Below are 12982 nucleotides of genomic sequence, written 5' to 3'. Positions count from 1 at the left end.
TTTAACTAGATATAAGTGTTTTGCTGGGGAGCAGGTCTGCAGAGCTCCTCATACAATCATTCTGGAAGTGGTCTCTGCTTTTTTCTCTTCCTTCTTTTTTCTTTCTTCCCTTTCTTTTTCTTTCTGTGTGTAGTTTCTGTTTTGTTTTGTTAACCTATGGATCAACAGCAGAAGATGTCAGATGTAAGAAATGATGGTAGGACGTGGGATGCTATTAGTAGGTATATCAGCTAATGTTGAAGACACTACTCTTAAATCAAGGAAAATATGATCAGAATAATAAATTTTTAAAGTATAGTGAACAAATTCTTCAGTAAGGCTGAAGGTTAAAAGTAAAAAGTTTCAAAGCAATACTTTTCTTGGCTCTTCTTTATAATAATTTATTGTCTAGTGAGCTACTAACCCTTTTTCTTTATGACTTGATTGCCCCCGTATGCTAAAATACTTGCTGTTTTACTTTTCCTTTCATTGACATTTACAATCCTTTGTCTTTTAGTAGTTTCACAAGCTTTGAAACAATGTTTAGATAATTTTAAAAAATAAAAATAAAACAATGCTAAGGGTACAATCATTGATGTTTTAAATATATCAGCTGCTATAAGGCACTTTGTCCAATTTTCATAATAATTTTGTCTTAATGGTGTTAAGAGCAAAGATTTAAGATTTACTTTCTTAGTGCCATAAAAATAAGAGCTATTCAGCTGGGTTTCTGAAATATTAAGTGCAATGCAAAAGTTTGTTTGCCTAATATCCCTGGACACCAGGCTTCCCAAAATATCCTGCCCCAGACCATAGCCACATCTTCCCACTAGATTCCTGGGCAACTAGAAACAATGGTAAAGGAAAACAAGGTCACACAATTTTTTTTGAGATGGAGTCTTGCTCTGTCACCCAGGCTGGACTGCAGTGGCGCGATGTCGGCTCACTGCAAGCTCAGCCTCCCTGATTCACACCATTCTCCTGCCTCAGCCTCATGAGTTGCTGGGACTACAGGCGCCCGCCACCACGCCCAGCTAATTTTCTTTTCTATTTTTCGTGGAGATGGGGTTTCACCATGTTAGCCAGGATGGTCTTGATCTCCGACCTCGTGATCCACCCGCCTCGGCCTCCCAAAGTGCTGGGATAACAGGCGTGAGACACTGTGCTCGGCTAAGGTCACACTAATTGTTAGCTGGGAGTGGACCCCAAACCTGTTGAAAGAACCCATCAGCTTTCCTTTAAGAAGGTAATGCCACAGACCACAACAGATAATTGAGGGTTATTCTGTGAGCTTCCACTAAAGCTAAAACATGTGTGGAAGGGACAGAAGAGAGGATAACAGGTTTGCTGGCCTGTTTACCACTTGGGGACGTTTGGATGGATGATGAAGAAGAAAAAGAATCAAAAGGACTGGGGCTCATCACAGGTGGGAATAGTATAATATTAGCTCTTCATTCAGAACCATGGTAGCAAAAAGAGAGAAAACTGCATCTGTGGACTGAATTATTCCCCTCAGCCCTCTACCCCAGTGTGTCTTCTTTTTGGGAATAGAGTAGAAAGCCAGGAAAATGGTGGGGATCTAGGAGGAAGCAGGCATCTCCTCTGACTTGCACGTCCCCCTGTTTCACTGTCCTTTGTTAACTCACTGTGTTTGACAGCCACATCTGTGGTCAGCCAGGGGTGCAGCTGCTCCTACTGGTAGCTAATGGCCATAGAACACCAGGGGCGTCTTAAAGCCCCTTCTGTGATCCGCACCACTGCTCCTGGGTATACTCCCAGGGTCTGTTATATGGGTAACATGCACCTCGCAGCAAGATCTCCTGAAATGGGTTAGGACAGGAATATTAGGTAATTGCAAACCCATACTTCCCACCATTCTTGTCTTCAATTATGGCCAATTACATAGTTACGGCAGCCTTGTATTGTTACAATACAATCTTCCTCTATGCTTAGGAACCTCTATGGAGATGGTTGTGTTACTTCAACCAAAGACAAGAAGAGACTAATCTGCAGAATTAGAACAATTCCCTAGTTCTTCAACAAATCAGTGCTGCTTTTCTTGCCAATAATAGACGTGTTTGTATTTCTCCGTGGAAACCCTTGGGGTAAACATGTTGCTTGTTCTTCCAATAAAGAATTGAACCACCAGAGGGCCTCAGGCGACTCAGGAGGTTTGGGAAGAGACAAAGGCACATGCTTAGAGGGTCTGGAGAAGGCGAGGAAGAAGGAAGGGAGCCAAGTAAAACATGTGACTGACCAGGGGCTTTGGAGAAGACAAGCCCTGCAGGAAGGCACGCATGTGGTCATTCTGTCTGTAGCCTCCCATTCCTCCCTGCTTTCCCCAGCTGCATCTACCTGGATCCTGAATTTGAACCAAGTGGTCCAAACGGCCCGGTCACCTGAGCAACCCCTCTGCAGGAACCGCAGGTGTGGGCGGGGTGGTGGGGAGGAGGCGGGGGGGTGGGGGAAAGGCGGGGGGTGGGGGGAGCTCAGCGGCGCCATCTAGCGTCCAGACAGCGGTGGCTCTGGGAAAGCTGATTGTTTTCTTAGCCAGAGGAGGAAGAGAAGGTTGGTCCTCAGCGCCTGGACGCCTGGTAGACGATAGGGGATGACATGATGAGTAAAATAAGGACAGGAACACGCCGAATCCCCTTTCATAATGATAGGACCACGCCAAATCCCCTTTCTTTTTAAAATTTGACATATACCCTTGAATATATATGTATTCTTATAAAATATGGTTATCTGGTATGTATTTATGTATATTGATATAAAGCTGCAGATTTAAAAATAGTACTTCTTTCATCTCTCTCCATCTACATAGTCTTCGTGGTTTTCAGTAAAATGATAATTTCTGGATTACTTAGATGTAGTTATTATGATCCAACCCTTGAATAAGGGGAGTTGAGAGTTGGTGAAACATCCCTGTCTCAATATTTGTTCATGCCATATTTCCTTTGAAAGAATTTACAGATAAAGGCATCAAATACCTGAAAAAGTAACAAGTTTACTATATTTTACTTGAGAATTTGTATATATATTTTTAAGAAAGCTTTTTAGTTTTGGCGTAATTATAAACTCACAAGAGGTAGCAAAAAGAGTACGGAGTTCTGTGAACCTTCAACTGGATTTCTCTAATGGTGACATCTTGCAATGGACTGAGTATGTCTCCCTCAAATTCATGTGTTGAAATCTTAATCTCCATAGTGGTAGCATTAGGAGATGGGGCCTTTGGAAGGTGATTAGGTCACAAGGGCAGTGCCCTCACAAATGAGATTAATGCCCTTATAAAAAAAAAAAAAGACCGCAGAAAACTCTCTTGTCCCTTCCACCATGTGAGGACGCAGTGGGAAGATGGCCAGTCCATGCACCAGGAAGCAGGCCCTCCCCAGACACTGAAGCTGCCAGGGCCTTGATCTTGGACTTCCAGCCTCCAGAACTGTGAGAAATTAACTTATGTTGTTTATAGGCCACCTAGCTACGTGTTTGGTTATAACACCCTCAATGGACTAAGACACAGATAACTGGAGTACAATGTCAAAACCAGAAAATCCACATAGGTACACACTACTATTAACTAGGCTACAGAAGTTATTCGGTGTTCACTGCTTTTAAACCTGCATTCATCTCTCTCTCTCTCTGTCTCTCTCTCTGTCTCTCTCTGTGTGTGTGGTTTTGTGTGTGCATACAGTTCTATGCAAGTTTATGTCAGGTGTTTTTGTCAGGTGTGGATTTGTGTAAGCAGCGCCTCAGTCAAGATGCAGAACTGCTCCAACACCACAAAAGAACTCCCTCTTGCTACCTCTTTTTATTAACATCCATGCCACCACCCCAATCCATCCCCATCCCCTGGAAATCCCTAACCTTTTCTCCATCTCTGTTGTTTTCTTATTTTGGGAATGCTATCCGAGTGAAATCATACTGCATGTGACATTTGGAGTTTGGCTTTCTCCGCCACTAAGCATATGCTTAGCGATGTCTGTGCTGGTTGTTGCATATATCAATCGTTCATTCCTTTTCATGACTGAATAGTATTTTATTGTGACAGAGTTCGTTAAACCATTTATCCACTGAGAGACATCTGGGCTGTTTCCTATGCTGTTATAAGTAAAGCTACTATGAACATTAGCGTACAGGCTTTTGTTTGAATGTAAGTTTTCATCCCTCTGGGATAAGTGCCCAGAAATGTCATTGCAGGGTAATACGGTAAGTGAGTGTTTAGTTTTATAAGCTAACAAAGTATGTTTTCATTTACATCAGCAATGTGTAAGAGATTCAGTTTCTCTGCAACCTCTCCAGCATTTGGTATTATCACCATTTTTAAATTTAACTTTCCTAATTTGTGTGTAGAGACATCTCAATGTGGCTTTAATTTGGATTTCCCCAATGGCTGTTTGTGTGTGTGTGCGTGTGCGTGTGTGTGTGAGAGTGTGTGTGCATGTGTGTGTGTGCGTGTGTGTGTGTGCACGTGTGTGCGTGCGTGCTTGTGTGTGTGCATGTGTGTGTGGGGTCAGCTGATGGCTCAAGCTGTTAGATTCTTCAGGGTCTATCTTAGCTTTTGAGTGAGGCTCTGCTCTTCTCTGGGTGGTCCCCAGTCAATGACTGAGCCGAGTGGCAGTTCAAAGTCTGGACCATCTCTACCCCCTACAGGATTCCTTCCTCAGGCCATCTTAGTTCTGGCCTCTTTTCCTTTTCTTTCCCAGGTGTTAGCTCCACAATAAATCTAACTCCATTTCAGCATCTCAGTGTCTGCTTCCTTGAGAACCCAACAAGTACAGCATGTTTCTTGGTACTTCATGGTGTACATTCAGTCCATTTGACTCATCCATTCCTCCAAGGATGGATACTGAATTTGCCTCCAACTCCCACTGCCATGACAAATGCTATGACGAACATCCTTGTTCTCATCCCTTCATAGTCCTGGGGGAGAATTTCTTTCAATTAGGTATAATTTGTAGTGGGCTTTCTGAGTCATAGGATGTATGTATGTTCAATTTCACCAAGTACATGCAGGCTATGTTACAGAGAGGCTTCATCAGTCCACATTTCCAAAGGCACAAAACCCACCTTAGACCCATGTTTGTGTTTCTGAAAGCCCTGCTTATATTTGGCACTAGATAATTTTCTAATTTTGATAATCTCTTGATATATTTGTTATTAATTTGTTTTTTCTATGAATTACTTGCTTCTATACTTTGCCATTTATAGAATGGGTTTCTGACTTTTACTTACAGATTTGCAGAAGTTTCCTATATATTCTAATTATGAATTCTTTGTCAGTTTGAGATGTTGAAAGTATCTTCTCCCTCTCAACTTTGACTATGGATTCCTTTGTTGAATAGAAACCTGTAATATTAATGAAATCAAATCTACATATTTTTTTACCTTGTGGTTTATGATTTTTAGGTCTTGTTTAAGAAAATTTCCACCTTTAGGTCACAAATATTTTCCTACATTTTTAGTTTCACTGTTTATGTATAGATTCTTACTCTTGCTGAAGTTCATTGTATATTATATCAGGTAAGGATGCAGTTTTATTTTTCTCCATATTATGGGAGCTTTTCCCCACTATAACCTACTAAACAGTCAGTTTTTTCCTGTTTCTTCGTAATTCCCTTATATTCATGAGTCTCTGAGCTCTTTTTGGTTCTGTTGGTCTGTTGGTCTACTCTTGAGCCAATACCATGATTAAAAAAATTTCCATGGCTTTATAGTGTAACTTAATATTTGATGGGACCAGTCTCACTTCTTTGTCCTTCTTTCTGAAAAATGATTTCACCATTTGTGAACCCATTTTTCATATGTTTTAGAATAAATTCATTAACCCCTAAAAAATTCTGGTTGGGATTTTGATTGGGATTGGAATTATAAAAAACATTTGAGGAGGATGGATATCTTTACAATGTTAAGCCATACTATCAAAGAGCACGGTTTTTTTATTTATTTATTCATATATTTCATTACATTATGGTCTCAGAACATGGTCTGTATGCTTTCAATTCTTTAGAATTTGAGACTTCTTTTAAAATCATTATTTGGTCAGTTTATGTGAATGTTATATGTACACAATATACACATGCATTCTTTGGTTTGTGGAGGGTTATATACAAATATGAGTTTATTAAATGTCTTATTTAGATAATCTATGTCTTTGCTTTTTTTGTCTACTTGATCTATCAGTTCTGAGATTTATGTACTAAAATCAGCAATGTTGTTGGTTTTCTTCTTCTTGCTTGAGATTATGTTGTTAGATGCATATATGTTATGCATGTTGTATCTTCTTTGTCTATTGTTTCTTTCATCAAGATATACTATACCTCTTTCAAGCTGATACAGAAGTAGAGAGAAGGATATAATGAACCCTCTCAAATCCATCATCCAGCTTCAACTACTCATGGCTACTCTTATTTTATCCATACTACACAAACTCTTCCACACCCCTTCTACTGGATTATTTTGAGGTAATGGCAAACATAATATCATTTAAAAAGTAAATACACTAGCATCTATCTATAAAAGATAAGGAATTCTTTTTAAGCATAATCATAATACCCTATCAAACCTAAAGAATTAACAATAATTTCTTAATACCATCAAATATCCAGTGTTCTAATTTTCCAATTGTCTTATAAATATTTCTATTCTCTTTACTTAAATTAGGATCCTAATGAGATTCATACCTTAGAATTAGCTGATATGCTTCTTGAGTTTCTTTTCATCTATAGATATAACATATCTCTATCTCTTTTGATATTTCCTGGCTATGAATTCTATTTTGTTATATATTAGGATGGCTACATTTTTGTAATTAAATTTTTTAAAGATTACAAAAACAATATATGAGTAAATGTTCATAAAACATTAAAACACATATGGAAGTGTGTTTTTTGTTTATATAAATAGAATTCTACAATGTTTATTATTCTGTGACTTGCCTTTATCACTTAACAGCAAATACTGAAACATATCCTTTTTAAAATATCACAGCTTTATTGATATACAATTCACATACTATACAATTTATAGATTTATTAAATCTATTGTCACAACCAATTTTAGAATGTTTTCATTACCTCTAAAAGAAACTCTATATCCAATTCTCCCCAATCCTCCCAGACCATGGCAACCACTAATCTACTTTCTGCCTCTATGGATTTGTATATTATGAACACTTCAAATAAGTAGAATCATATACTACATGGTCTTTTGCATTTGTCTTCTTTCATTTAGCTAATGTTTTCAAGGTACATCCATGTTGTAGCATGTATCAATATTTCATTTTTCCTTATTGCAGAATGATATTCCATTGTATGGATATATGACATTTTGTTTATTTAATCATCAGTTATTGGATATTTGTTTTGTTTCAACTTTTTGACTATTATAAATAATGCTGCTATAAACATTCATGTACAACTTTTTGTATGGACACATTTTCATATTTCTTGGACACATACCTGGGGTGAAATTTCTGTATTCTATAGTAGTCTGTCTAACCTTTTGAAGAACTGCCAGACTGTTTTCCAAAGTAGCTGCACTATTTTATATTCCCACCAGCAATGTATGAAGTTTATAATTTCACCACATCCTCACCAACACTTGTTGTTATCTGTCTTTCTGATTACAGCCATCCTGGTGGGGATGAAGTGGTATCCCATTGTGGTTTTGATTTGCATTTCCCTTATGACTAATGATGTTGAGCAACTTTTCATGTGATATTGGTTACTATGTATCTTCCTTGGAGAAATGTCTGTTCAGATCCTTTGCCCATTTTTAAATTGGGTTACCCATATCAGATATATGATTTGCAAGTATTTTCTCCCATTCTGTGGGTTGTCTTTTCATTTTCTTAATGATATCCTTTGAAGCACAAAGGTTTCTACATTTTGATGAAGTTTATTTTATCATTTTTTTCTTTTGTTGCTTGGGCATTTGATGTTATATCTCAGAAATCATTGCCTAAAATTGGCAAGGTCGTGAAGATTTATGCTTACATTTTATTCTAAGAGTTTTAGCTGTTACATTTAGGTCTTTGATTCATTTTGAGATAATTTTTATATATGATAAATACTAGGGTTCCGGTTTCATTCTTTTACATGTGTATATCCAGTTGTCCCAGCACTGTTTGTTGAAAGTCTATTTTGCTATTGAATTGTTTTGGTAATCTCATCAAAAGTCAACTCTATATGTGAGGTTTTATTTAATTAATGTATTTATTCTGAGACAGGGTCTCACTCTGTCACCCAGGCTGCAGTGCAGTGGTGTGATCATGGCTCCACTGCAGCCTTGAACTTCTGGGCTCAAGCCATTCTCTGCCTCAGCCTCCCAAGCAGTTGAGACTATAGGTGTGCACAACCATGCCTGGCTAATTAAAAAAAACCTTTTTATTTTTTTTTTTGAAGCGACAAGTTCTCTTTATTTTGATCAGGTTGATCTCAAACTCCTGGGCTAAGCGATCTTCCTGCTTCAGCTTCCTAAAGTGTTGGGAGGCCAAGTTGGGAGGCCAGGTTCCTAGGAGAATGGGCCCTGCAGCACACACAAGTGCATGATCATTCTGCCAGTCCCTGCCTTTCTAGGCCTGGGAAGCTGGGGACTGGAATGCTGTTGCCACTCCTTGACCTCGCCTGCAAACACAGCAGCATCAAGGGCAGAAAGGCAGTTTCAGTATCCCTTTCATCTTCCAGATCTTGCTCAAATGCTCCTGATTGGTAGAAACTAATTCTATACAGAGCTTTAGATATAAAACAATCTGGGAAATGGAGAGTTTAACTTTCTAGTTGCTGCAGAACAGGAAGATACATTAGGAGGGAAATATAATAGAGGTTAAGGAAGTGTCCATCATATTTCCCATGAGTCCAGTGACTTGGGAAATGGCTGTTCTCAGTCCTGGTGAGACTGTCTAGAATTCTGTGTCCATTTCTTTCCCTGAAATGTAGAGATATAGAAAAGATTTGTATTGTGAGCTAAATTGTGACCCCCTCAAAAGATATATTTGAGTCCTAATCCCCAGTTCCCATGAACGTAACCTTATTTGGAATTAGAGTCTTGCAGATGTAATTGAGTTAAAATGAGGTCCTACTGGAGTAGGGTGGGCCCTAAACCCAATGACTAGTGTCCTTATAAAAGGAGAAATGCAAAGACACAGAGACACCCAGGCAAGCCAGCCATGTGAAGAGGGAGACAGAGATCTGAGTGATTCCTGAGCTATCCTTTAAACCATCACCTGTATCTGTATTGCCTCTCAATGTACAGCCAGGCCAGCAGCTACAGGGAACTCAGAATATTCAGGCTGTGCTCTCAGTTCCCCCCTACCTCCTACTTATTTCCATACTTCCTTTCTTGGGGACAAGTTTCCATCTCAGCAGGGGCTCAGTGAAGGCTGTGGTGATATTGGGATGCTGGGTTAGGATCATGGCTGGGGCAAAGACCTTTTTTTGATACAAGGTCTCACTCTGTTGCTCAGGCTGGAGTGCAGTAGTACAATCACGGCTCACTGTAACCTCTGCCTCCCGGGCTCAAGCAATCCTCCCACCTCAGCCTCCCAAGTAGCTGGGACTACATGCATGCACCACCAACGCAGCTAATTTTTGTATTTTTTGTAGAGACTGGGTCTTGTCATGTTGCCTAGGCTGGTCTCAAACTCCTGGGCTCAAGCTATCTGCATGCCTGAGCCTCCTGAAGTTCTGGGATTACAGGCATGAGCCACTGCACCTGGCCTTGGGGCAAATACTTTGAAACCCAACTAGAAAACCTAGTCCAGATCCTGCGTGGGCAGCAGCAAGTCAATAGAACACAGGTCATTCACAGTGACACAGAGAGAGGGGACAAATTCCAGCCTTTCCTGGATCTTTAGGATGTCCCTTACTGTCTGTAACTTTTCTGAGCTCAAGTGCACAAGCTCTATGATTGGTCTTAGAGCTTAAACACCTGTTACAACACTACTGTTAAATGTCACCATCAAACTCAGCTATTGACATCCTAAACTATTGCTCTGGGCTCAGAGAAGGGACAAGAAACAAGTTTTTTTGTACACGTTAAGAGTATAGCCAGGCATGATAGCAAGTGCCTGTAATCCCAGCTATTCGGGAGACTGAGGTAGGAGAATCGCTTGAACCCGGCAGGCGGAGGTTGCAGTGAGCCAAGATCGCATCATTGCACTCCAGCCTGGGCAATGAGAGTGAGACTCTGTCTAAAAAAAAACCAAAAAAAAAAAAAAAAAAAAAAAAGTGGTGTTTTCAAACCTGGCTCCTCTCTCAGAATGATCTTTAGAGCTTCCCAAAAACACAGTATTCAGGACCACCCTTGGATATTCTGATATGACTGGTGTGGCACGAAGCAGCACAACACTGGGATCCTTAAGAAGCCTCTCTAGGTGACTCTGGTGCACAGCCAGGGTTGACACTGCTGGGATAGAGAAGGGCAGCAAAGAAAACATAGAAATGGATGCTGAGAAATAAGCATCACAAATCAACAGAGGGCAACGGGGTGAGAACTAGGGGCAGTAGGAACACAGGAACAAGAGTGGACAAGTGCTCTTGGGGATGGACAGGGAAGGCTCATTCCACCGAAGCTGGTGGGAAGCACAGGGGCTTTTGAATGTTGTGGCCTGGGGCTTTTCCTCCTAGTTGTGAAGGAGCCCTGTTGCAGTGTGGTTGGAAGGTTGTGTGGTTTTTGACAATTTCCCCCTTCCCAACAGGGTCGGGCCACAGGGAGAGGAGCGAGGCCTTGATGTCACAGATCTGCTTTGAGGCCCAGCCTTTGGATGTGCACTGCTGCCAGTTCTTGATTATTAAATCCCATTGTGGTGGAAGCATTGTCTGGTAATATCCAGAAACTCCTCTTTCATTAGAACTGGGAATAAGCAGGGTGGCCATGGGTGAATTTCAGCCTCTGATTTGTGGGTGGGAGCTGAGGGGCCACTGAGAGGCTGAGCAAATCTTCGGGGTGCATGGTCACTGTCACTAGAAAGCAACAAGGTCTATGACCAGGGTGACTGGAAAGGAGGTAGATTAAATAATCCCCTGAGGTTTTGGAGCAGTGTGCAAGGAATTGGATTTAGGGTAGCTTCCAGTCTCTTTTTTGGGGTCCTGTTTCTTGGATTGTCACCTGCAAGTGGCCTTATCCAGCTGGACCACAGTTGGGTGGTCAGTCTGTGCTGCATGTGGTTCTTCTAGGACAGCAGACACTTCAGGAACCACAGAATATGGGGCACTTGATGTCCCTGGGATAGCTCGGTGCCTCTGTGCAGACCGCTGTCCAGAATGTCCTTCTCCCTTCAGTTGATGTTAAAGCTCAAACTCTACTTCCTTTTTAAAGTTTTCTGTGACTTTCCTTGAATGAATTAGGAGGGACTTTCTCCATTATTCTTGAGTTATTCTTTACGTGACTTTTTCTTACAGAAAAACAAGCTTCTAGAAACCAGAGACTATGTCTTTCATCTTCGTATCCCCAAAACCTACAGCAGGATCTAATCCATAGCCATTTAGTTAAGTGTTCGTTGAATGAATGAAAGAGTTGAGTCATCACAGACATGTAAGTTGTGAATGCGTGTTCACACATTCTAATGAGTGAGGCTATGACACTGTGAAAGAAGACTCTGCTGCAGGGCTGAGTAGTCCTGATGCATCGCTGGAGGTCATATTTGATAATAAGGCTGGTGCCTTTCTGAAATGACAAGAACAGGACATACATATACCACTCTCTCCTCCCACACCACAGCAGAGGTTTCGAATTCACTATGGCGTTGTTATTTACTGAGCCTGGTTGTGAATTCGGAATCTTTTGTGACACAGCCACTACAGGCAGCTTAATGATCAAAACTAGGATGAGAGAGGAAAGCTGTTTTCCATCAAGAGCATGTTCTGTTTTGCTGGCAAATATGGATATTGTGGTGAAAGGAGAACATTTTTACCTTGACAGCAGAATATAAGGAGTTTCTAAAGTGGAAGGTAAACTGGAGACACTGCTCCAAGGTGTAGAAAACTTCGGAGGCTGGAACCAAAGACTTTTGAAACATGATTGCAGCTTCAGCAGAGGTAGAGCTGCCTTTACTATAAAGGAAATGAGTCATGGAGTGGCAGTTCTGAACCATGGCCCCTCTCACTTTTTTGCTGGTCCTCCCATTGAGATGTGGGGTCTATGTCTTCTTCCTTTCCATTTGGGTGCAATGGTGACCACTGACCAATAGAGTATGGCAGAAATAGTCATGGGATTTCTGAAGTTAGGTCATAAAAGGCATGCGGCTTCCTTCTTGTGTGTGAGAACACCCATCTTGAAGCCCTGAGCCTCCATGCAAGAGTCTGATTACTTGAGACCACTATGCTGTGAGGAAGCCCCAGCCCCGTGGGGAGACCACACATAGGTGCTTGGTCTACAGTTCTAGTTGAGCACAGACCAGTCCAGATGCCAGACATGTAAGGGAAAAAGCTGCCAGACAATTGCTGCCTCCAGTATTAGCATCCAAGATGCTATCAGCTTCCGAGTCCTCCCAGCTGAAGCCCCAGACATCATGGATCAGAGAGAAGCCATCTCCAGGGTGTCCTGTCGGAATCCTTGTCCCATTGAGTTCATGAGCATAATAAAATAGTTGTTGTTTTGTGCCACTGAGTTGAGGTGGCTTGTTATGTAGCAATGGATAACTGTAACGTGGAATCAGCTCTCAGGCAGTGACGGGGGATCTTGTGAGTTTTGCAAACCAATCCTTGGATGCTCTAGCAAATAAGCATGAGGGTTTAGCAGGCAACCTTTTAACATCCTGACTAAGTTCTTGGATCAGACATCTACACCTAATATTTTTTTTTTTTTAACTTTTAAGTTCACAGTGCATGTGCAGGTTTGTTTCATAGGTAAACTTGCATCATGGGGGTTTGTTACACAGATTATTTCATCACCCACGTATTAAGCTTAGTACCCATTATTATTTTTCATGGTCCTGTCCCTCCTCCCACCCTCCACTCTCCAACAGGCCTCAGTGTGTGTTGTTCTCCTCTATGCGTTCTCATCA

General features: G+C 41.0%; 1 long non-coding RNA gene across 2 annotated transcripts in view; it reads left to right on the top strand.

The window, feature by feature from the left end:
* The first annotated feature begins 2284 nt into the window (after positions 1-2284).
* LOC105375567 (uncharacterized) overlaps positions 2285-12982 on the top strand; it is a 58167-nt gene continuing 47469 nt past the window's right edge. For both annotated transcript variants that reach the window (XR_928171.3, XR_928169.3), the window contains exon 1: positions 2285-2406. This is a non-coding gene — a long non-coding RNA (uncharacterized LOC105375567). The remainder of the gene's footprint in view (positions 2407-12982) is intronic.

Source organism: Homo sapiens, chromosome 7, assembly GCF_000001405.40.
Source record: "Homo sapiens chromosome 7, GRCh38.p14 Primary Assembly".
NCBI classification, from domain to species: Eukaryota; Metazoa; Chordata; class Mammalia; order Primates; family Hominidae; genus Homo; species Homo sapiens.
This window is presented reverse-complemented; position numbering and strand designations above follow the sequence as displayed.